The 24,775-nt window shown below is 55.3% G+C and overlaps 1 protein-coding gene across 1 annotated transcript in view, besides 1 other annotated feature; it reads right to left on the bottom strand.

The window, feature by feature from the left end:
* Positions 1-24,775, bottom strand: part of ZNF469 (zinc finger protein 469) — a 339,823-nt gene that overhangs the window by 75,700 nt on the left and 239,348 nt on the right. The window lies entirely within an intron of this gene.
* Positions 14,331-15,298: an enhancer, noted in NCBI's record as "H3K27ac-H3K4me1 hESC enhancer chr16:88383362-88384329 (GRCh37/hg19 assembly coordinates)". NCBI's record gives its function as "activates a minimal SCP1, AML or CMV promoter by ChIP-STARR-seq in primed H9 embryonic stem cells {active_cell/tissue: H9 hESC(primed)}" and the evidence as "EXISTENCE:reporter gene assay evidence [ECO:0000049][PMID:30033119]".

The following is a 24,775-nucleotide window of genomic DNA, read 5'->3' as shown; positions in this document are numbered from 1 at the left end:
AAATAACATCGTAAAACATCAAATATCCAGGAATAAACTCATGAAACATGTGCAAGCCTTTTTATTCACTCATTTATTTATTTATTTTTGAGATGGAGTCTCACTCTGTTGCCCAGGCTGGAGTGCAGTGGCGTGATCTTGGCTTGCTGTAACCCCCGCCCCTTGGGTTCAACGGATTCTCCTGTCTCAGCCTCTCAAGTAGATGGGATTACAGGCTCCTGCCACCACACCCAGTTTATTTTTGTATTTTTTAGTAGAGATGGGGTTTCACCACATTGGCCAGGCTGGTCTTGAACTCCTGACCTCAAGTGATCCGCCTGCTTTGGCCTCCCAAAGTGCTGGGATTACTGGCGTGACTCACTGCGCCCAGTCTATACAAGACTTTTATGTAGAAAATGGCACGACATCACTAAGTGAAATTAAGACCTAAATAAGTGTGGGGCCATATTCATGGACTGGAAGACTCTAATGGAAAGACGTTGATTCTTCTCAGATTGATCTCTGGATTAAACACAATTTCAGTCTAAATCCCAGCAGCTTTTTTTTTTTTTTTTTTTTTTTTTTGGAAATCAACAAGCTAACAAGCTGATTCTAGAATTTGTGTGGAAAAGCAAGGAACAATAATAGCCAGACAAAATAAAGGAAGAACATGCTGGAAGGCTTCCACCACAAGATATTGTGACTTCCTGTGAGGTTAAAGTAATGAAAACAGTGATATTGGCACAGGAATAGATAGACCAAAGTAACAAGATTTGGAGTTCAGAAATAAATCTGTACATATGCAGTCACCTGGTTGATGACAAAGGTGCCAATGAATTATTGCAGGGGAAATGATAGTATTTTCAGTAAACGCTGCTGGATCAACTGAGTACTGAATGTTGAACCCTGCTTAACATCATACTCAAAACTCAATTTCGGAATCTTAGCTCTAAGTGTGAAAGGTAAAATAACAAAGCATCCAGAAGGTAACACAAAAAATATATCTGTGGTCTTGGAATAGGCAGTGATTTCTTAAACATGGCACAAGACACTAGTTATAAAGGAAAAGACTGATAAATAAAAGTGCACTAAAATTAAAATCATCGGTTCACCAGTAGACACCATTAGAGAGTGAGATGCAAACCACAAGTTCTGTTCCTGCTAATGGCCAACTAGCCCCTTCCAGACCAGCCTGCATGCAGGTAATAACTATCAACTGCAGACAAAATACCAGAAAACAACGACTCAGAGGTGCTGGAGAGGGAATAAAGGCAGGCTGATGTTGGAGGGGCATCTGCACATGGAAAAAAGGATGAGTATTTGTGGTGTTTTCTGGGTTTTACAGCTTTTGGTCTGAGAGATGACTCTAATGTCTGCCACGTGGGACAGCTAAAACTCTGATGCAAAACCTGTGGTCTTGCTGGGTGGAAAAACCAGAAGACAGAGTTTAGGGCAGCTACAGACACTGAAAACTGAGGAGAGGAGATCTTAAATAGGAGAGACCAACATGGGAAAAATCTTGTATTTAAACTTTGCCAGGACATCTGGCTGACTCCCCCAAGCCACACATGCATGGGGTAGACCCCAGGCAGTCTGGCTGGGGCTAAATAATTGGAATCAAGATTTGAGCTGTCATCCACAACAGAGGAGACAGAGTTTTCTTTCACTTTGAGTTTATCCAACTTAAATGCTTGCTGTCTGGAGGCATCACTCTTTGGAGGCACACAGCAGAATCTAAAGGTTCTAAAATATGTCACTCACAATGTCCAGAATAAAATCTGAAATTACCTGACATGTAAAAACAACAACAACAACAGCAACAAAAACCCAGAAGAATGTGACACTTTCTCAAGTGCAAAGACAATCAACAGAGACCAAGTCTGATATGACCTGGGGGCTAGAATCAACAAAGATTTTAAAAGTAGTTCTTTTACTAGGCTCAAGGTTGTAAAGGAAATTATGCTTGTCACAAATAAAAAAGACAGAAAGCCTCAACAGAAAAATAGAAACTATAAAAAGGAAACAAGTAAAAATCTAAAAGTAAAATATACAATATCTGAAATGAGAAATTTCCTGGATGGGCTCTACAGTAGAATGGAGATGACAAAGAAAAAAATTCATAAGTTTGAACATAGATTAATGGACGTGGTTTAACCCTAGATAAAGATGGAAGTCAAAATTAACAGAGCCTCAGAGACCTACAGGACAATATCAAAAGGTCTGCTATGTGTGTAATTGGAGCCTCAGAAACAAAGGAGGGTGACAATGGGTCAAAAATTATTTGGACAAACAGCAGTTAGGTTTTTCTCCAATTTGGTGAAAGATAAATTTATAGCTATAAGAAAGTCAACAAGAAGCAAGAAGAATATAAAGAAGCTATATTCAGGCATATCATAGTCAAACTTCTGAAAACCAAAGATAAATGGCACCAAAAATCTAGGGGAATAATGATCCAAATTACCACGAAATCCTCATTAAAAACACCAGAAGTCAGAAGACAGTAGAACAACATCTTTAAAGCGATGAAAGAAAAAAAATGTCAACCCAGAATTTTATATCCAGGAAAAACACCCTTCAAGAATGAAGGTGAAATGATATTTTTGGATAAAAGCAAACTAGAGAATTTCATCGGCAGCTGACCTAGGTTTTAAGAAAATACTAAACAAACTTCTCAAGGCTGAAGAGGTAGGAATTCAGATAGAAATTCAGGTCTTCTGGAGGAAATGGAGAACATCAGAAATGGTAACTACATGGGTGAACAGCATGAGGATGGGAGCAAAGCTCTTTCCACATTTTGACATTCTATGCAAAAACCAGGAGCCATAAACTGATCTTACAATTGTATACCATTGGAATTGGTATACAATTCCAATGATAATCTTACCAGAATTTTTCCATAGAAATTGACAAACTGATTCTAAAATGATAGGGAAATGTAAAGGACCAAGAATATCCAAAGCAACATTGAAAAGAACAAAGTTGAAGAATCGATAGTAGCTGAATTTAAGAATCAATCTAAAGCTACAGAAGCCAGACAGCAGGGACTGCAACAGCAGTCAATAAACGGATCAATGAGCAGAACTGACAATTCAGGAACAGACACACACTTACATGACGATTTGTTTTTCAACAGAAGTGTCAATGCAATCCAATGGTGAATCTTCCAACCAATGACACAGGCACAACTGGGTATCTGTACACCCCAGACTCAGTCACGATGAACCACAGACCTAAAGGCTAAACCGATCATGCTTAAAAGAAAGAAATTTAGATGAATATCTTCACAGCTTAGGGATTGGAGAAAGTATCTTAGGACATGAAAAGCAAGAACATATGAGAAAAATATTCATAAGTTAGATTTCAACGAAAAAAAAAAGAAACCAGTGCTCATGAAAAGTCACCATTAAGAAAATGAATAGACAAGACACAGACTGGGAGAAAGCATTTTCAAAACATGTATCTGACAAAGCACTTGTATCCAGGGCATATAAAGAATTAGAACAGAAAATGCCTTAAGTGGGCAAATAATTTAAAGAGACCTTCACAAAGGAAGATATCCAAATGGGCAATAAGCACATGGAAAGGTGTCAACATCATCAGTCTTCTGGGAAATGCGAAGTTTCTCTGATTTGGTGTTTTCATTTTTCCATCATAGGTTAGTTTTACCTGCTCTAGATTTTCCTATATAAAAATAGAATCATACAGTGTGTGCTTCCTCTAGGGCAGGGGTCCCCAACCCCCAAGCCTATTAGGAACTGGGCCACACAGCAGGAGATGAGTAGTAGGTAAGCCAGGGAAGCTTCATCTGTATTTACGTCCACTCCCCATGGCTCACATTACCACCTGAGCTCCACTTCCTGTCAGATCAGTGGCATTAGATTCTCACAGGAGGGTGAGCCCTATTGTGAACTGCGCATGTGAGGGATCTAGGTTGTGTGCTCCTTATGAGAATCTAATGCCTGATGATCTGTCACTGTCTCCCATAACCACTAGATAGGACCACCTAGCTGCAGGAAAACAAGCTCAGGGTTCCTACTGATTCTACATTATGGTGAGTTGTATAATTACTTACTATATATTGCAATGTAATAATAATAGAAATAATGTGCACAATAAAAGTAATGTGCTTGAATCATCCCAAAACCATCCTCCTCACCCCTTGTCCATGAAAAAATTATCTTCCATGAAACCGGTCCCTGAGGCTAAAAAGGTTGGGAATCACTGTAACAGGGGGTGTCGGGCAGGGGTGGACTGCCTTTGAGAGAGCACGCGGGCACTGTCTGGGGGTGGACTGCCTTTGAGGGAGCATGCTGTCTGGGGGTGGACTGCCTTTGAGGGAGCATGCGGGCGCTGTCTGGGGGTGGACTGCCATTGAGGGAGCACGCGGGCGCTGTCTGGGGGTGGACTGCCTTTGAGGGAGCACGCGGGCGCTGTCTGGGGGTGGACTGCCTTCGAGGGAGCATGCGGGCGCTGTCTGGGGGTGGACTGCCTTCGAGGGAGCATGCGGGCGCTGTCTGGGGGTGGACTGCCTTTGAGGGAGCATGCAGGCGCTGTCTGGGGGTGGACTGCCTTTGAGGGAGCATGCGGGCGCTGTCTGGGGGTGGACTGCCTTTGGGGGAGCATGCGGGCGCTGACTGGAGAGATGATGTTCTTCTGCACGTTGGCAGGTTTTAGGTTGTATTTATTGGACCTCACTGAATGGCGCTCGAGTTGTACATTTCGTTGCATGTAAAGTTCACTTGAAAAGAAAGTCAAGGCCAGGCACGGTGGCTCACACCTGTAATCCCAGCACTATGGGAGGCCGAGGTGGGTGGATCACCTGAGGTCAGGAGTTTGAGACCAGCCTGGCCAACGTGGAGAAACCTCATCTCTACTAAAAATACAAAATTAGTTGGGCGTGATGGTGTGCACCTGTAATCCCAGCCGGGTGTGGTTTCTCATGCCTGTAATCCCAGCACTTTGGGAGGCCGAGGTGGGTGCATCTGCAGTCAGGAGTTTGAGAACAGCCTGGCCAACATGATGAAACCCCATCTCTACTAAAAATACAAAAAAAATTAAAAAATCAAGAACCAATATACAAATATTGACCTCTCTGTTAATGATGTACATGTTGAAGTATTTTGAGCAATGTGTATTAATGTCTGCAACTTACTTTGAAATGCATCAAAAAATAAGATGAACTGATAGATAGAAAGATGGACAGAGACATGATAAGGTCTATTCAATGTTAATTCTACAATCCAGGTGGCAGGTATATGGATCATCACTGTAGAATTCTTTCGAGCTTTCTAGATATTTGATTTTCAGATCCAATGTTGGGGGAAGAAAGAAGAAATAATGTAAGCCCCAGAGTAAAAGAATATATTTGCAATGCTTTTATTTTTCTTCCAACAAAAGACTGGTATCCAGAAAGTATTTTTCAATACTTCTAAAATCAATACAAAAAAGACAGAGATGATCTTAGATAAGTGGACTGAAACTCGAGCAGACACTTCACAAAAAAAGGCTATCCCGATAGCCAACGATGTTTAAGAAAGTTCGCAACATCTTTAGGCAGCAGTGAAATGTAAATCAAAACTCCTTCCCACACAAACCAAATGACTCAAATGAAAACACAGGGAAACAGAGCACAAAAGCAGACAATAGCAAATGTGGGCAGGATACCGAGCCCGCGGGACACTCAGAAGCAGACAATAGCAAATGCGTGCAGGATACCAAGCCCCCGGGACGCTCAGAAGCAGACAATAGCAAATGCGGGCAGGATACCGAGCCCCCGGGACACTCAGAAGCAGACAATAGCAAATGCGGGCAGGGTACCGAGCCCCCGGGACGCTCAGAAGCAGACCATAGCAAATGCATGCAGGGTACCGAGCCCCCGGGACTCTCTGAAGCAGACAATAGCAAATGCAGGCAGGATACCGAGCCCCCAGGACACTCACGTGCTGCTGGTGGGGGCGTAACTTGCCACAGATCCTCTGAATAGCTGTGTGACAGCATCTTTGGGGCAGAGCGTCTGCACAGCCAACGACTCGGTGATTCTACTTCTAGGGGGAGTCCCCGTAGAAGTGAGTGAACACTTATGCTCCCAAGAGCTGTCCAAGGAAGCCCACAGCCTGCAAGTTAGAAGAGCCTGAGACTGGAAGCATCCCAGGTGTCCACCAAGGGCAGAAAGGACAAGAAAAGGTGAGGCTAGCCTGGCATGGTGGCACGCGCCTGTAATTCCAGATACTCAGGAGGCTGAGGCAGGAGAATCGCTTGAACCTGGGAGGTGGAGTTTGCAGTGAGCCGAGATCACACCACTGCACTCCAGCCTGAGAGACATAGCAAGACTCGGTCTCAAAAAATAAAAATTAAAAAAAAAATTAAAATAAATTAATTAAAACAAAAGTGGTGCCTTCACACAGAGGAATGCTACGCACCCCAGGATGGGGTGACTCTCAGAGACCTGGCGTTCTCTGCAAGAGAGGCAGACACAAAAGAGCCTCCTCCATGTCACTGATGGAAATAAAATTCAGCATCAGGGCCTGGCCTGGGTGGGAGTGGCAGGCTGGTGGCTGCCTCTAGGGAGGATTCCTGGATCCCGGAATGTTCGGATCTGGGTGGTTGGTACATGGGTGGGCAGGTTCATTTTACAGACATTCGAGTTGTGTGGTTTTCTGTACATAAATGATCCTGCAATACAGGAAATGCACCCAGCCCCAGAGGTCTCGCATCATGACACTCTGCCCAACACGGTCCCTGGAGGCCGGGTGGGAAGACCAGCCCCCCTCCCCCGGGTGTGGACCTTCCAGCTGCGGGGCCGTGGTGGGGGTCTGAGGTCCGAGCCCCTGGGCGCTGGGGGTCCGAGCTGAGTCTGTTTGCTTAGCTGGGCTTCCTCACAATGCCCGCCTCTGTTCTTCCTGAGGCCTGACGCCCACGCTGCAGTGCAAGCCGGCTGGGGGCCTGGGGGAGGTGGGACCTCAAGCAGCCCACACTGAAGCGAAGCTTGCCCTGAAAGGAGGCTGGATCTTGAGGCCATCTGGCCCAGCCCCCCGCGTGTCCATGTGACCACTCACTCCCTCTCTCTGTGCCTCAGTTTCTTCCCAGGACAAGTGGACATTTCGGGCCAAATGCCATCCCAGGCATCTGTACTGCGGGTGTGGAAGGCGCCTGCAGAAGAGGCGCTTCTTGTTTCCGCTCCGTCCTCCCAACAGGCCCTGCCACCGGCTCCCTCCGGCCTCCCTTGTCTACACCTGGCGGCCTGAGTCACTCGCTTAATAACAACCACAGTTTGGGAGGCAGTGAGCGCATGCTGCACATTTTTGCATTGCATGGGCAACAAAAGGACTAATTGAATCATGATCTCCCATAAATGCGATGGGAAATGAAATAACTGCGCTGCCTCAAAACAGACTTGGCGTGCTTCGGAGCTCAGTCACAGCTAACTCAAACCAAGCCCGGGCCCCCCCTCTTCCCCTCTGTCTCAGCCATCGCCTCCCTGCCCAGGCCCCCGCCTGCCTGCTAGCACCCAGTGTACTGAGATGCTGGCTCGGAAAGAGGCCTTGGGGTCCACCTGCTACTTCCTGGCTGATGCCACCGAGGCCCAGGGAGGGGGAGTGGCCTCCCAGGATCAGGGCCGGGATGAGACTCGAACCTACACTTCCCATGTCCATTAGGAAGTCTTCATCCAGGGTCTGGGGGTCAACGCAGTCGAGGACTGGATATCTGCAGGTGGCTAGGGGCAGTGTCTAGACCCGTGGAGAGGTGGCACCACGCTGCAGTGACAGCTGGTCCCCACCACCTCTGCAGAGAGGTTGTCATCCCATTGTACAGGTTGAGAAACTGAGGTCATGAGTGTGGCTTGAAGGGACAGTAAGTGGGGAGTGGGATTCAAACCCGGGTCCAGGGCTCTGTCATCGTCCCAGAAGGAGCACTGTTCTGCCCCTGCTGCCAGGGAGACCACCAACCTCCAACCCCTCCAGCCAAGGGCCAGCCCGGCCCGGGTCAGAGGGTACAACTGGGGACCACCAAGGGCTGGGAGGGGACCCGTAACCGGGGCTGGCCGGGCACCCTGCAGCTCCCCCACAAGCATTGCCTGGGCACCCACCATGTGCCACCACAGCTGCACCTCCGTGTCACAGCAGGGCAAGCCAAGCTTCCAGAAGGTTCTCTGTTACTGCCTAACCCTGCACAGCTAACAGGAGAGCCGGGATTCAGCAAGAGTCTGCGGACCCTGGCCTGGTGCCTCTTGCCCCATCTCCAGGAACTGATGCGGCTCCTGCCCCGGGGAGCTTCCAGGCCAACAGCAGAGATAGGTGAGTCCACAGGCTGTGCCAGGACTGACCCCTCTGCACATGGGGCTGCGTCAAGGTCACGGAACGACGGAAACCCTGGCTGGAGGTTTTCTCCGTGGTGCCTTGTTCATGTATCTGGCCTCTCCACTGACATGGCCTTGGAGGACCTTCTGAGCCCAGTCTGCTGGGAGCTGGCAGATGGTGATGATGTTAACAGTGATGATAGGTGTATGCCCACACGCACACAGGCACACGTCAACACACACAGGCACACGGCAATACACACACAGGCACATGTACACACACACACAGGCATGTGTACACACACACACAGGCACACGTCAACACACAGTGACACACACATTTGTTTATACTAAAACACAGGCCTCCCCAGGGGCTCCTGCATGGAGCCCTGCCCCCTCCCTGTGTACTGGGGCAGAGGTTTCCCAAGAAGCCCGCTAGGGCTTCAAGACTGAAACCAGGCGGCTCACAGCTGGGCAGTGGCAGGACTGAGATTCGATCATGGACCTTGGACCCTGACCACTCCCCTTTGATCTCCAACCTTAGACCCACGGCTCCCACATTGAACTCTCTGTGCCCAGAGCCGAGGAGGCCCCCACCAGTGGTGTGGGAGGGGCACGAGGGATGGAGGGTACGGGTGTGATTTTGGGGTACACACATAGTTCTGAAGTGGTGTGGCAGAGGGCGGGGCGTGCGGTCTGATTTGCTGACCTTTGAAAGTGATGATGAAGGCTGGTGGTGCCAGCTTCTAGGGTCCTCTCCTCCTCAGAGGGCCTCAGGGGGTGTGGCCACATATGGGACGTCTGCCAGGCCGGAGGCTTTAAAACCCCCTTCTGTGTAGGTCTTTGTGCAGGACCCCCACGGCATGCCCCAGAGGCTGACCCAAGAGGCGGCCGCCGAGGGCATGTCTGCACCCCAAAGTGTGGTCTTGGTCCTCCCCTGGGAGTCCCACACCTCTTTCGGGTCCAGGTCCATCCTGCCTCCTGAGTGTCCCCCGGCCCCGCTCACAGTTCTGCAGAGCTGTCGCCATGCTGGGTCTGAGTATGTGGCCCAGAGGACTCTCCCTGCAAGACTCCCAGCCCCTGGATGATAGGCCTGTTAGGGTGCCTGGGCTTCCTGCGGGTCCTGGAAACACCTGTCCACTCACAGAGCAGACTGCTGCCTGTGGACTCACAGCCAGGCCGATCTGACCACCAGCACTGAGATCTGAGGGCCTGGCCTGGACTCCTCACCCACCCCCAGGATCGGCAGCAGCTGCTGCAGGGTGCGGGAGCCCGGGTCACCGACGCCACGCTCACGTTTCTCCCCATCCTTCAGGCCAGGTAAGGGTCCAGCGGGAAGATGAACATGGAGCTGATTCGTCCGTGAGCGCCATGGTGGCGGGACGGGGAGGGTAGGAACCAGAGGCCACTTTCAGGGGCTCCCAGTTTAGCTTCTTTGTTTTGTAGCAGCAGAAACCGAGGCCCAAGAAGGTTAGGGGACTGTTTGAGGTCATGCTGCTGGGATTAGGATGAGAAAATAGCCCAGCCTTTAAGCACCTCCAGCCATGGGTGTTCAGCTGTCTGCACAGTGGACTCTGGGAGGGGGCGTGATAGTCTCGTTGTAGAGTTGAGAGGCCGAGGCTGGCGGAGCTGAGTGTCTGCAGCTGGGCAGGTGCCCAGTGTTCTGCCCAGTGTTCTGCGCCCCCTGCCCACCCTCCCCAGGCCCGAGGTCTGTGGGAGACAGGGCCGCGAGCCCACGTTCCCTGAGTATCAGGTGGGACAGTGCTGTGCTCTTCCCCTAGCGGGGACAAGGGCCTAGAGACGAGCTGGGCTGGATAAGCACAAGTCTCTTCTCAGCCCCCTGCCCCCACTGGAGACCCTGGACTCGACTCGACTCCTCAGGCCTCCCTTGCAGCACCCTGCTCTGATCTCAGCTGCCCTTCAGACCCTGGAGCCTCAGGGCTGAGAGGCCCCTTTTGAAGCTGACCAAGGTGGGTCTAGGGTGAGTAAAAGGAAGCCCTGTTTACCTGCAGCCAGGAGGCTTGGGAGCCTTGGGAGCCTGGTCCGCTTGGGAGACTGCTTGGGCGGAGAATGGAAATTAAATTCAAAGAGCGTTTAGACACATGAGCGCACCCTAACAGCAGCCTCGATTCCATTTGAGCTGGGGGCCGGGCGCGGTGAGAAGCGCCTTCGCACGCACCCTCTTATTTCATCCTTAAGTCACTGCTCCGACTTGGTCCCGCTATCCCTACTGGACAGGCTGGGAAACCGGGGTGCGGTCGGCTCCTGTGGCTCACCCCAGGTCACAGGACTAGTAAGTGGCCAAACACAGACTTGACCCCAGCTGCACCTAATTCTGGAGCACGAGCTGGTAACCACTCTGCAGACAGCCCTCTCCACTCCCGCCGCCTGCGTCCCGGGTTCCAGAGAATATCCAGGGAGCCGAGGACCTGGCTGCCAGAAGCCCTCCTACCCCGAACCTGGCACTGGGCTGGCAGGCAGCCGGCCCCAGGATGCCAGGCACCATCCCTTGCTTCTCCCTGGTCCCCCTGGGGAGCTACAGACCCGGATTCAAATGCTGGCGGCTCCTGCGGCAGACTTTCTGCCCGTAGAAGGGAACCCCTTGGGTTGCAAGGAGGCTGTGTCACAGGGAGCTGTCACCTAGCCACTGAGTCCACAGGCATTCACTGAGTACCCACTGTTTGTGAAACTGTCCCCAGTGCTGAGGTTGCAGCCACAGCCTGGCAACACGGTCCCTGGCCCTGTGTCCTTACATTCCAGCTGGGGCAGCCACGAGCAGGTAGATATGAAGCAGGCAGGGGTGCATTCACCCCTCACGGCGGATGTGAGGAGGGGCTGAGACGACAGGCTTTACCTTCCCGCTGCCTAGAGGCCAACAGCAGGGAGGGGAGGGTCATGCTCCCTCCGGAAGCTCCAGGAGAGCTTCCTTCCTGGTCCTTCCAGCTGCCGGAGGCCCCAGGCGGTCCTCAGCGAGTGGCCGCATCCCCAGAATCTCTGCCTCCGTCATCCTGGGCTCATCTTCCCTGCATCTGTGTATGACCTCATTTCAATCCATAGCAAATTACACCTGCAAGGCCCCTGTTTCCAGAGAGGTCACATTCTGAGGATTCGTGTGGACTGAGTTGTTGGGAGCCACCGTTCACCACGACACGCGCGCATGCTCTGAAGCAACACCGAGCAGGGAAGGCCTAAGGCACCCAATGGGCTCCGGGAGCCTCTCTGGGCAGGCAGCAGTGAGCCGCGAGAGGCTGGCGGAGGGCGTTGTGCGCAAAGGCCCTGGGGCAGGAAGCCGCTGGTGGCTCTGTACAGCGTGAAGGGGGCCAGGGTGTGGGGCTGGGGAAGCTGGGTGGGACTGAGCCCCAAGCGGAGGTGGGCGCCGGGTCACAGGCCTCTTGTCATTGGCATGGGAGTAGTGACACTGTCCCGCCCTCTGAGTGGGAGGGCAGAAGCCATCGGTGGTTCCTGCGTGGAGGAAGACATGGCAGACTCACGTTTTAAAGAGCCAGGGTCCCTCCAGCCGCATTATTGGGAGCGTATTGTGACGTCTCGAGTGAGAGGGCTGGACCTGGGAGCGCTCTCTCTGCAGTGAGACTTACGGCCTCGGAGGTGCACTGTCCGCAGGACTGTTAGGCGACCAGCATTCTCTGGACCATCCCACCCTGGGATGTCAGCCCACCTAAGGGTTTCCCTCCTGCTTGGCACCACCCTGAGCCTGAGCCTGGTCTCTCCCTGCCCAGACCCTGCAGTCTCACCGGGGCCTGCCTGGGCGCCCCCAACTTGCTGGGCCTGAGAACCACATCTCTCTGGCTGGCCTCCCACCCCAGGCTGGGCCTGGCTCTCTGCCCCCACCTCCCAGGCCTCTCCAACGGAGGGGACCCAGGAGGAGCCGTCTCACTCGGTGGGCTCTGGGGCAGTGCCCAGGGGTCAGGCCCATGCAGCAGGACGGGGTCAGCCATCAGAGCTGTGAGGCCGGGGCAGCCATATGCCCACATCTCCCTGTGATGTGGACCTGCCTAGGGAGGGAGAAGAGGGGAGAGAAGACCCTTGGGGCTGTAGCCTCGAAATCTTCCACGCCACGTCCCCACGGCTGCTACCAGCCAGGGAGGGGAAGGGCTCATTCCCACGGCAGGTTTGGTACCAAAGTGCCCACCATCGGCCCCGTCTACCAGTTCTGGGAAGTTGGCCCCATGCCTGTTGTGGTTGTACAGACAAGGACACAGGCCTGAGGGCTTCAGGAACCTGCCTGGCAGCCCAGTGGCCTGGTGCTGAGCCATGGTGCCCAGTGTGCCCTTCCGTGCCCGTCAGCACCATGCTCAGCCTCCACACAGGCAACCCCTCCCTCTGTGCACCTGCAGCACCCTCCAAAAGGCCCTGGCTCTGTTATTGGTTTCATAAGTGAAATTCTCTCAGATGAGTCACGAGGACACCAGGCAAATTTGTCATTCCTCTGGGTTGGCATGAAGCTTCTTTACTGCGACAAAATACATACTCCTAAAATTCACCGCTGCCACCATCTGAAAGGGCACAGTTCGGTGGCAGTTTGGTGGCAGTGAGTTGTCCATGGCATTGTGCACCCGTCCCCTCTCGCTGGTTTTGGAGCTTTTTCCTAACCCTAGAAGGAAACCTGTTCCTCTGGGTAGTCACTCTCCATCCCCCGCCCCCAGCCCCTCGCACCCATGGACCCGCTTTCTGTGTGTGCCTGTTCCGGGTGTTCCCTAGAAACGGAATCCCACCATGTGTGGCCTGTTGTGGCTGCACCACCTGCAGGTTTCTCTGTGTCGTGGTGAGCGTCACCATCATATTTCTCCTCGGGGCGGAGGGGCCTCCCTTCCTCACGTGGGACACGTCGTGTTTCTCCACCAGCCAGGTGACCCAGTTTCGAAACCCACTATAGACATCAAATGAGATGCTGGAGCGAGCACGGCACCACTTGTCATTTCCCAGTGGAGACAAGCAAGGGTGGGGAGAGGGTGGTGGGTGGTGGCAAAGCGTGGCCCGGCCTCAAACCCTGGAGCCCCGCACAACCCCCTGCACCCTGCTGGTGGGGGAGGAGCTCCGGCTGGGGCCTGCTGCCGGCGGTGGGGGTGGGGGCCTCCACAGAGGGCCGTCTGGACCTCAGATCCACAGCCCAGGGCGGCCGCCACAGCACGGGACTTGGTCAGTGTCATTGGAGCGTCGGCGGCCCCTTTGTCCTTTCGCGGAGGACACGGGGACATCACAGGCCGCCTGGGGAGCCTGGGATGCTCTTGCTCCTGAGGGGTCAGGGCCTTTCTGGGACCTGTGCTTTGATTTTGGTTTTGTCAGACAACAATCCCACAGGCCCAGGGCGGTGCCATGTGAGGCCTGTGGGGCTGAGTAAGGTCTCAGATCCCCTGAATTTAACGTCCTCATCCCATGGCTGGGGTGATGGAGGCCTGCACAGAGGCCTGTGGGGCAGAAGAAGGTCTCAGAAACTCCCAGCATTTAACGTCCTCATTGTATGGCTGGGGAAACGGAGACCCACACAGCCCAGTGACCCGCAGCTGGGCACCCGGGACCAGCAGTGGGAGGGGGCAGCCGTCCAGCCTTTGGCTACGCCACCGAGGGCCGGGTGTGTGCCGAGGTCAGGGACAGGCCACACTGCCTGTCACCTATCACCCTTTCCTGAGCACCTGGAGTGACTGACCCCGACATGCTGAAGACCAGGAAACAGGCCCAGCAAGGTCACAGCAGGTGTCCAGGGTCACATGGCCACGCCGGGGGAGCGCGGCAGGTCGCCTTGCTGCTGCAACAGGCCACACACACTTGGAGGCTTGGAACACACATTTATTCCTCCACAGTTCTGGAAGTCAGGGTCCAAAATCACTCTCACTGCTTCCACGAACATCAGGGTGTTGGCGGGGCTGGGTCCTTCCGGAAGCTCCAGGGGAGAATCTTTTCTCTTGGGGAGAATCTGTTTCTTGCCTTTTCCAAATTCTAGAGGCCTGCATTGCTGGGCTCAGGGTCCTCTGCCTTCAGAGCCCGCAGCGCGTGTCTCTAACCTCTGCTGCCATAATCAACATCTACTTCTGGCCAAGAGGGAGGTTGGCTCAGCATTGAGGAGCTTGGTGATGACATCAGGAGCCCTGGGATCTTCTCCCATCTCAGCGTCCTGAACGTCCCCCTTTCACCACGTGAGGTTCCGGAATCATGATCTTATTCCGCCCACCACAGGGAGGCTAAGCGTGAGTCCAGGCTGGTCTGCCTCCCCTGTTAATTCAGGTCCTGGCCATCTTCCGGAGGGGAAACTGAGGCTCTGAGAGGGAGGCGACCTGCCTGGTCATGTGCTGGTGAGTGGCCCAGCCCAGGCGAGAGCTGGTGGTGGGGCTTCCCTGCCCTCCCCTAGGCGATTCTGGCCAAGGGAGGTGGGTGCGCCGGGAGGTGCCCATGGCCTTGTGCCGGGATGTGGCGCTTGTGCTGGAGCCTGTGTGGGCACCATCCAGGTCCCTGCGTGGATCATGCCAAGGGGAGGGGAGCGGACGGGGGGGCAGGGCCCTTGGGACAGGAGGGCAGTGCTGTGGGAGGCTGCTCACTGTGACACCTTTGGAGATCCGCCTGGAGCAGCTGCTGTGGCTGCCTTGTGTTTAAACGTGGACAGTGTTTGACCTTCGGTTACTAAAGCAGCTCCATGATTGCACCCTCCGCCCCAAGGGGGGCGGGAGGAACTGCCCTTCTCGTGCCTGCCGGGCTGGGCCATGGCAGAAGCTGGGGGTGTCTGTGTGTGATGTGGGTGCACATGGTCTGTACGCTGTGCGTGCTGCATGTGCTTGTGGTGTGTATTGTGTGGTATGTATCGCTCATGGTGTGTATTTGTGTCTCGTGTGTTGTGTGGTATGTGGTGTGTAGTGTGTATTGTGTGTGATGTGTGTGCAAGTGTGTGGTGTGTATTGTGCATGGTGTGTGTGCACTTGTGTGTGGTGTGTATGGTGCCTCGTGTGTGTGCATTTGTGATGTGTGTAATGTGCCTGGTGTGTGTGCACTTGTGTTGGTGTGTATTGTGCTGGGCATGTGTGCACTTGTGTGTGGTGTGTATTGTGCTGGATGTGTACTTGTGTGGTGTGTGTATTGTGCTTGGTGTGTGTGCACTTGGGTGCAGTGTGTATTGTGCCTGCTGTGTGTGCACTTGTGTTGGTGTGTATTGTGCTGGGTGTGTGTGTGTACTTGTGTGGTGTGTGTATTGTGCTTGGTGTGTGTGCACTTGGGTGTGGTGTGTGCCTGGTGTGTATGCACTTGTGTTGGTGTGTATTGTGTAGAGTGTGTGTGTACTTGTGTATGGTGTGTATTGTGCCGGGTGTGCGTACTTGTGTGGTGTGTGTATTGTGCCTGGTGTGTGCACTTGGGTGTGGTGTGTGTGGTGCCTGGTGTGTGTGCCCTTGTGTGTGGTGTGTGTGTGTGATATGTGTGTACTTGTGTGTGGTGTGTGGTGCTCATGTGCATGTCCCATGCAGCGTGTGTGGTGTTCGCTGCTACCTGAAGGTCACCTGTGCGTGTAGAGCCTCGCTCAGCCCTCTTGGCTGTGAAGCCTCCGTCTGTCTCTCATGGCCTCAGTTTCCTGCTCCGTCGGGGAAGGCTGCACCGGCCTGGGTGTCTGGAACCGAGGTGCTGGTGAGGGGGGACGAGTGGCTGCTTGCTTCTTTTTCCAGGTTGCTGGAAGCCTCCTGCCTCCCGCCCAGAGCCATGCTGGCCTGTGGATCTTTCCGAGTAAAGCGATGGAAATGGTCAGAGAGGCCGCAGTCGGCTTGGGGCCTGCGTGGGAGGCAGGGGCCGAGGACTCGTATGCTGTCCCCAGCTCAGGACTGGCTGTGGGGGCTGTGGTGAGCCCTACCCTGTCCCGGGAGAGCGGCTGTGTGCACCACACACACGCAGGCACACACATACATGCCCACGCGTGATGCCGAGTGCCTGTGGGGTCCTGTGTGACCATTCCCCCGACAGCCCCAGGGGCCTCAAGAAGGAGACGACAGGTCTTCTTCAACTCTTCACCTGGAGAGTTGGGGTCCCAGGGCAGTGGGGCGGCTGAGGCAGGCTCCCCGGATCCAACCCAGGTCCCAGCCCCCAAATGGCACCTCAGGAGGTCCCCACGTCTCACGGCAGGGGTCTGGGCAGGGCCTGGGCTGGCCCTGGTCAGTGCTGTCCCTCACCTGTTTGACCCGGTCCACTGGGACACTGTTGGACCCCCACTCCCTGTACAGCTCCCCCGTGTGGGCAAATCAGCAGGTCATCCCAGTTCTGGGGCTGAGGGTGGCGGGGTCTTGAGGCAGGTGCAATGGTGGCCCCTGAGGGATATGCCCATGTCCCAACCCTGGGGACCTGTTGGTGTGGCCTTATTTGAAGCCAGAGTCTTTTCTGGTGTCATGGAGCTGGGTTCGCACAGGAGTGGGGTGGGGCCCTGAATCTTATGATGGGTGTCCCTACAAGGACAGGGAAACGAGAGGCACGCACAGGGGAGACAGCAGTGTGAAGCCAGAGGCAGGGACAGCAGCAATGTGGCCACAAGTCAGGGAGCTCCCGCAGCCACCAGGAGCCAGAAGAGGCAGGAAGGCGGCCCTGAGCCACCTTGACTTTGCACTTCCGGCCCCAGAGCTCTGAAAGGATCGCTTCTGCTGCTGCTGTCAGGGAAGCCCCAGGGGACGCACACAGATGCGAAGGGGCAGGTGGGCCAGCCCAGAAGACTCAGGCTCCGACCCGCTGCTGTCCCTGGCCCACCACGACCATGCTCCGCCCACCAGGCTTCCACAGCGAGGAGGACGTGGGGGTGCAGGGTAGACCGTTTGGGCCTCTGGGCTCCTGACACCTGGCGGAGCTCTCTGGGAAGAGCCCTGCCCTGCCTGGTCTGAGATCCTCCTCCTCAGGGGTCATGGGGCACCCCTACTCCAGCTGTACCCTGCACACCTCTCACAGGACTCTGCTATCTTCCTGGGAGGCCCAAACACATCCAATGGTCCCAGGAGGCGGGTGGGTGCTGGGCGTGGCCCAGGACTTGAGACGCCTTTGGGGTGAATTTGAGCCAAGGCTGGAAAGGCGAAGATGGGAGGACCAGAGGCAGGGGTGAGGTGCAGGTTCTTCACTGTGATTGGAGGAGACTGGCCCCGCCTTCCCCACAGTTCTTCACATCGGGGTGGATGTGGGGCAGATGGGTTTCCTGGGGCCATGATAACCAAGTATCACAGATGGTGTGGTTAAAACGGGAGTTTATCGTCACAGTTCTGGAGGCTGGAAGTCCAAAGTGAAGATGGTGGGGCTGGTTCCTGCGGATGTCAGGAGGGAGGGTCTGCTCCGGGCCTCTCTCCTGGGCTTGGCGACACTGTCTCCTCCGGGTGTCTACGTGTGACCGTCTCTCTGGGTGTGCCCGCGGCTCAGTGGAAATCTCACCTTTGAATAACAGTGCTAGTGAATTAGGACCCGGCCTAATGACCATGTCTTCACTTGAGCATCTGCAAAGCCCCTATTTCCAAAGAAGGGCCCGTGCACGGGTGTGGGGGTGGGGCCCTGACGTCTTTTGGGGGATCGAATGTAGCCAAAACATGGGATCTCACTCGTCCAAAGGTTCAGGGGCCTCCTGCATTGCCTCATAGGTGTGGGTCCCCAGCTTGGTGGGAAGGAGGTAGGGCCGGCATCCTGCTCCCAGGGAAGCAAAACCAACACAGGTGACACCATGCTGAGACCGCCCAAGCTCAGCCGTACGGCCTGTTCACACATTACCACATTTCTGCTCTTTCCCTGTGAATTTATCTTACTTCCCCCCAGAACCAGCAGGAATGACATTTCTTGCTAAATACCTCAGTGTGCCTCTCCTGGGAACGAGGGCCTTCTCCCGAGGGTGGCCAGGCCAGCTGGTTCTTCCCGGCTGCCGATTTTCATTCTGTGGTTCTGAAGAAAGTCTGAGGGAGGATGTGGCAGCGTGGACACAATGGGAACCTGAAAGTCCAGCAGTGGGCAGGTCCAGGGCCAGCTCGCTGCCTGAGCAGCTTGGGACGCACACACAGGGCCGCCCATCTCCCCACTTCCTCTTAAAGGAAGGAACAGGTCCAGCCTGGGCAACATAGCGAGACTCCATCACTACAAAAATTAAAAAATTAGCCAGGTGTGGTGGTGCGCACCTGTAGTCCCAGCTACTCGGGAGGCAGAGGCAGGAGGATTGCTTGAGCCTGGAGGTTCAGGCCGCGGTGAGCCAACATCGTGCCACTGCACTCCAGCCTGGGCAACAGCGCGAGACCCTGTCTCTAAAAAATAAAAAAAATAAAAGTAAATAAGAGTAGGAGCAACGGTCCTGCTGTAGGGTTTGCTCTGTGGCTTTGAGGTGGCATGGGAGCTGCATGTGCAGGTCCAGGCCAGGGCTGGGAGGGAGGGGCTCCGGGCAGCCGACCTGGAGTTTCCCAGCGAGTTCTGCCAGGAGCCGGGGTCTGTTTTGGTGATTAGTGGACAAGCGTAGCTGGGTCCCCAGCACACTCGCAGGGCCTCGTGGTCAGCAGAGGTTCTCCCGAGATGAACGGGCCAGAGACCATGCTTCTCCCTCACCCAGCAGCCTGCACCGGCCGTCCCCACATCCTGGAAACCACTGGAGAATCGGGCCTGGGATGGAGCCGAGAACTCCCATCCCTGGAGATATCTGTCGGGCACCCACGGAGGAAGAGTAGGAAAGGAATAAAAATTCTTTTGTAATGCTCTCGGCTGTGAAGTTCAGCACTTTAGCCAGAAATCTGAGTGGTGTGCTCACAGCCTGACCCGGTCCAGAGCCCCACCTCTCACGCTCCTGCCCCCGCCAAGAATAATGGGAACAGATGGCGCCATTTTCCTCTGGTCCTTCCAGGGTGATGCGATGCCAGGTCATTGTAGTGATATTCGACGAGGGAGCAGGTCTAGATCCTTCTGGATGAAGGGCAGAGTTGCTGAAGCCTGAAGGTCACCTCTGGCAGCCTCGGTGGGGCCTGGCGGGCGGGCTGGCAAGCATTCTCCCCTATGAAAAGCTGACTCTCGTAAAACCCTCCTTCTTCCAGTCCGGGGGAGTTCCATCCACGTGAGGAGAGCTGGAGCCAGTGTTTTGGTGGAAGCAGGCAAGGCTTTGGAAAGCGCCCTTCCCTGCATGGTGAGCCAGAGGCTCCCTCTGGGCTTGTGTGAAATGGACCCCGTGGCGACCCCACGGGCAGAGGGGACAGCTGCCCAGGTGTGGGTTCTGCCATGCCAGCCTGCAGAGGCCTCTCGTCTTACAGAGGGCAGTGACGTGCCCACATCTCATGGTGAGTGACCACAGAGGGGCCCTGGTGCAGATCCCATGCTCCTGGTGTCACCTACCCAACGTTTGCGTGTGTAGCCATCATGGCTGTGCCGTCCCATAAGGAAGCCCTGGGCCACACGGAGCTGCTTACATTTAAGTTAATTGAAATTAGGTACAATTAAAAATCTGGTTTTTTGATACCACTACCCAGGCCTCAGGTGCTCAGAAGCCCTGTGTGTGGTGGCAGCTTGTTGCCAGCACAGGCACAGAGCTGTCCCACGGTCACACGAGGTGTGCGTGGATGGCGCCATGCCAGGGTCTCCTTTTGGACTCAAGAGCAAGGATGGAAATGGAGCATCTGGCCTGGGTGCCCGGGAGGGGGCTGGCTGGACAATTCAGGCTCTGTCAGCAACATGCCCTATGACCTCGGGATCCACTCCCCCCATCCCAGGCTCACGTCACCTTTACAACGGGTGAGGAGGAGGTGACTGGTCTTCTCAGGCCCTTCTAGAACCTGCTGTAGGGCTCTGGGCCTGACCAGCCAAACCCCAAGTCAGGGCGACTTCTGTGATGGATATACAACATTGTCAGGGATGTCGGGGCCACACGCTTGACACCTGGAAGGTTGCAGGAAATCCCAGAGGCCGGGTGATGGAGGCAGGGCGACCTGACGGGTTCGACACGCGGGACCCAGAGCCAATGTGGTGGTTTGGGGAGGAGACTCGGGTTCCGACCCGGTCTCGCCTCTGGGACACGGGGCACACACCCATAGCGGCCCCTCCCAGGAACCCAGGCACTTTGGGGGACCTTCCGGCTGCATCCTGGGTCCACCATGGCCATATGCAGAGCTGCTTCCCACGCTCTTTGCACAGCTGTGGTCACAGGCCCAGAGAGGGCCCGGGCACCGCCTGAGGGTGCACAGCAGCAGAGGCAGGGCCAAAACACAGCTGGCTGTCCCGGCCCCCAGTGCAATGTGCCCCTCTTCACACTGACCCCATCCCTGCCAGAAGCCCATGGGGACTTTCACTCTGCAGAGCACCTGCCTCAGGCCCTGTGCCCAGCACTGCAACCCAGCCCAATGGCTCTTCAATAAACTCTTAATTTCAGAACAGTTGAAGATGTACATGAAGGTTGCAAAGACAGCATGGAGAGTTTGTGTCCACCCCTCACTTAGGGTCCCCTGCCGTTAACATCTCACATCACTGTGGACACCAGCAAGAACTAAGGAACCAGCATCGACACGTTGGTATGAACTGAAGTCCACGCTTTGTTCGGAACCCGCCCCCCCATCGCCTCTTCTCCCCCCATGCCCTTTCTCTGCCCCAGGATCCCATCCAGGATCCTCGTGTCTCCTTCGGCTCCTCTGGGCCGTGACAAATTCTCAGACCCTCCTTGTTTTTGATGACCTTGACCGTTGTGAGGACCGCTCAGGTGTTTTGTAGAGTCTCTCCCTGTTGAGACTCTCTGCTGTTTTTCTCATGATTAGACGAGGGTTATGGGTTTTTGGGACAGAGACCCCAGGGGTGAAGTGCCCATCTGATCATGTCCCGTCCAGGATCCACACCATCAAAAGGACTCATGATGGTCAAGGATGACCTTGACCTCCTGGCCGAGGTCGTGTTTGTCAGCATCTCCACTGTGCAGTCCCTCTCTTTCCATCTCCCCATATTGCCATGGTTTGAATATTTGTCCCCTGCAAAACTCATGTTGAAATTCAATCCATATTGTGGCAGTCTTGAGAGGTGGGGCCTTTAAGAGGTGATTAGAGGGCTCTGCCCTCATGAATGGATTAATCCATTCATGGATTCATGGGTTATTACAGGAGTGGGACTAGTGGCTTCATAAGAAGGAGAAGAGAGACCTGAGCCACCAGGCTCAGCCCCCTTGCCATGGATGCCCTGTGCTGCCTCAGATGCTGCAGAGTCCCCACCAGCAAGAAGGCCCTTAGCAGAGGCAGCCGCTCGACCTTGGACTTCCCAGTCTCCAGAACCCTGGGAAATAAACTTCTTTCCTTTATAAACTACCCAGGCTCAGGGATTCAGCTACAGCAGCAGAAATGGACTAAGACACACACTCTGCTCTTAGGAAGAAGTCACGATGGGCAGGCTGCATGTGGGCGGGCGGCTCTGTGCTACTTCCTGGGCAAGCGTCTATGTACATTGTTTGGGAGGGATGTGTCTTTTCTTCCCCATTTATTTATTTCATCCATTCGATACTTTATGTTACTGTGGGCTCGTGGATGTTTATTCTATCCTTGGGATTTTAACCCCATACAACCCCATACCATGTTTACTTTGTCACCGGATGCCATCTCAGCCGTGGCCCTGAGCTCTGGACGGAGGTCCAGGAGAGCAAGTGCAGGGTGGGCTACCACGGACCCAGGAGCATGAGAGGTGTGAGACAGGATGCCTGTGCTTCTCAGTCCCCATGTGCTATGTTCCCGCTGCTTTGCCTATGGACCACAAGGGGTGTGAGACAGGACGCCTATGCTTCTCAGTCCCCGTGTGCTATCTGCCCGCTGCTTTGCCTGTGGACCACGTGGAGCTCAGCAGTTGCCCACAAAGCTCATCCAGTGGCCATGAAGGACTTGAGCCCAGCCTTGCTGCCCCTGTGCCCCTCCAGGTGAGGGAGGGTTACCTCCCACAGGGACCCACCACCCAAATACACATGACGTCCTGCAACTGGGTCCCGACAAGGGCTTGACGGGTATCGCCCTATGCTGGCGTCATTGACAGGCATCGCCCTACGCTGGCATCAGGCGGCTGCTAGAGTCTTACACTTATGCACGTTCTCCCACCTGGCCCAACGCAGAACAGATGCCACCTTGAAAAGAAGCAGGCCCACCGCCTGCTGGCACAGCCTCAGTCCCCCCATGGTCTGTCCCCAAGTTACAGGGAAAAGGCTCACTGCTCAGAGCCGCCTCTGCATGACGGGCCCTGGCAGGAGGTCCGAGAGGCTGAGCAAAGGAAGGGGCTGCGGGACCACAGGAGGTGGGGCAGTGATGTCCTACCTGAGTGCAGGGCAGTGGGCCCCCACCGTGCATCAGAGCAGAAGCAGCTTTCCCCGATCATCCTCTCTGACCCTCAGTGGCCATTGGAGTGGGGAGCTGAGGAGGATTCTGAGGCTCCATCCAGGTTCGGCCATGAGCGGGGCACAGGGAACTGGGCTGCTGGGAGAGGACATTTGGCCTCCCCCATGAGATCTTCCTGAGGTTCCTGGAGCTCCAGGAACATGAGAGATGCAGGCAGGAGGGGAGGCAGAGACTCAAGTCCCAGCCTGGACCCCCACACTGAGCTCCCTGGTCACTTTGGGTAAATCTCTCGAGTCACCTTCCCAGCAGTGACAAGGTGGAGACCGAGCCCAGACCTGCGAGGTGCTGGGGGGCGAAGGGCTGGAGACCCCTGTCGCAGCGCCTCCTCAGCCCCTGCCCGGCCTCTCCCACCGGCCTTCTTCGTCCCCAGCCAGCCCCGCCCCGCCCTGCACATGTTGCTGCTTGCCTCACCTGGGACCCTGTTGGCTGGAGCTGCCACCTGCTATGATGCCCAAAGCCCCATTCTGCTTCCCCAGCTGGGCACCTCGAAGTCCACACATCAATGCTGGCCGCCCCGACACCTGCACAGCTCCTTCTCACGGCCTTCCCAGATGGCCAGCGCCCTTGGTGATGCTCTCGCCCTGGCCCTGGACCCATCATGACCTTGGTCCCCAAGTCCTTCAGGCTCATCCAGTCACCCGCCCAGCCCCCACTGGGCATGGCAGCCCCCAGCCATCCTCCCCTGCACACCCTTCCTGGCTCATCTGAACCCCACCCCCAGTCTGTGGACGCTGCACCACCTGCCTCAGGGAGCATGCATCCATGCCCCCGCAGATGGCAAAACCGAGATACCCAGTCCACCTGCAGGTGTGCAGGGCCTGCCTGCTGCCACCCTGGCTCCGTCCCAGCTGTGAGCCGTGCGGGAGTTAGGATGGCTAGGAACCCAGGTGCCTGCTTTCTGGGGCACGGCTTGAGAGTCAATGCGAAAGGAAATTGGGATTACGTCAGAGAGCTGGGGAGGACGGCTTGACCTGGGAAACCTGGAGGGTGGCCCAGAATGAGTCCCCCAGGTGAGAGATCACAACAGTGGCCGGCCCTGCCTCACGCTGCCCAGCACGTCCCAGCAGGGGCAACTGAGTCCCAGCAGCCACCAGGAGCAAGATTCCAAACGCATGTTCCCAGTGGGAGGCCCTGGCCCATGCGCCTCCTGGGCCCTGGAGAATAGACTGAGGGGCTGGCCCTGTACAGGCCCCCAGCATTCAGTGCACCAGGCGGGCATTGAACAGGGACACCCCAAGACCTGGTGTTGTCCAGCCTGTGAGCTAAGAAGGGCTTCTACACATTTACAGGATTGTACAAAATAGGTAGAGATGTGTGACAGAGACCACGTGTGGCCCACAAGGCCTGAGAGATTTGCTACTGGACCTTCACAGGAGAGGTCTGAACCTCTGGGGGAAGACGAGGTGCTCAGGTGGCTCAGGAGGGGGCCAGGAGCTCTGCGAGGGCTGCCAGCCAGACGCCAGCCTGGACCGCTTTGCCCGGGCCCCGGGCTCTCTCTGCAGGGTCCTTGCTACCCCAACCCCCAGGGCTCTCTGCGAGGCCCTCCTCCACGCTAGGCCCCCGGGCTCTCCTAGCAGGTCCTCATCCCAAGTCCTCTCACGGTCCCTCAGGGTGGCTCTGCCTGACACCTCTGCCTGTAAACTCCTCCCTGTGCATCACCCTCTCCCTCTCCTCTGCCCCACCCTCCCCTCTGACCCACCCTCCCCTCTGCTGATTCCCAGCCCAGGCAGGCGGATTCTGTTCCAGCGGGACTCCTCCCCACGCACCTGCCTCCTCTGTGCTCCCGGCTGTTAAGCTGCGCCGCCCTGCACTGTTGTTCCTTCCTCCCTCTGGGCCTCAGCTCTGTGGGGCTGGGCAGCACCCTCCCTGGGAGACTTTCTGGCTGCAAAGCCCAGCACTCCCCAGTCCTATCAAAGCTTCGAGAACTTCTTGTGGGCCTGACCCATGACACCTGACCCGTGATGTCTGGCCTATGTCACCTGGTTCATTATACCTGGCCCTTTATACCTAGTCTGTGATGCCTGACCTGTGATGCCTGGCCCATGACACCTGTTCATGTCACCTGACGCATGACATCTGGCTTATGATAACTGGCCTTTGATACCTGGTCCATTATACCTGTTCATGTCACCTGGCCTTTGACACCTGGCCCATGACAACACCTCGTTTGGTACAC

The sequence above is a fragment of the Homo sapiens genome, chromosome 16 (assembly GCF_000001405.40).
Source record: "Homo sapiens chromosome 16, GRCh38.p14 Primary Assembly".
In the NCBI taxonomy this organism is placed as follows: Eukaryota; Metazoa; Chordata; class Mammalia; order Primates; family Hominidae; genus Homo; species Homo sapiens.
The sequence above is the reverse complement of the archived record's forward strand: the minus strand, read 5'-3'. Positions and strand labels throughout refer to the sequence as shown.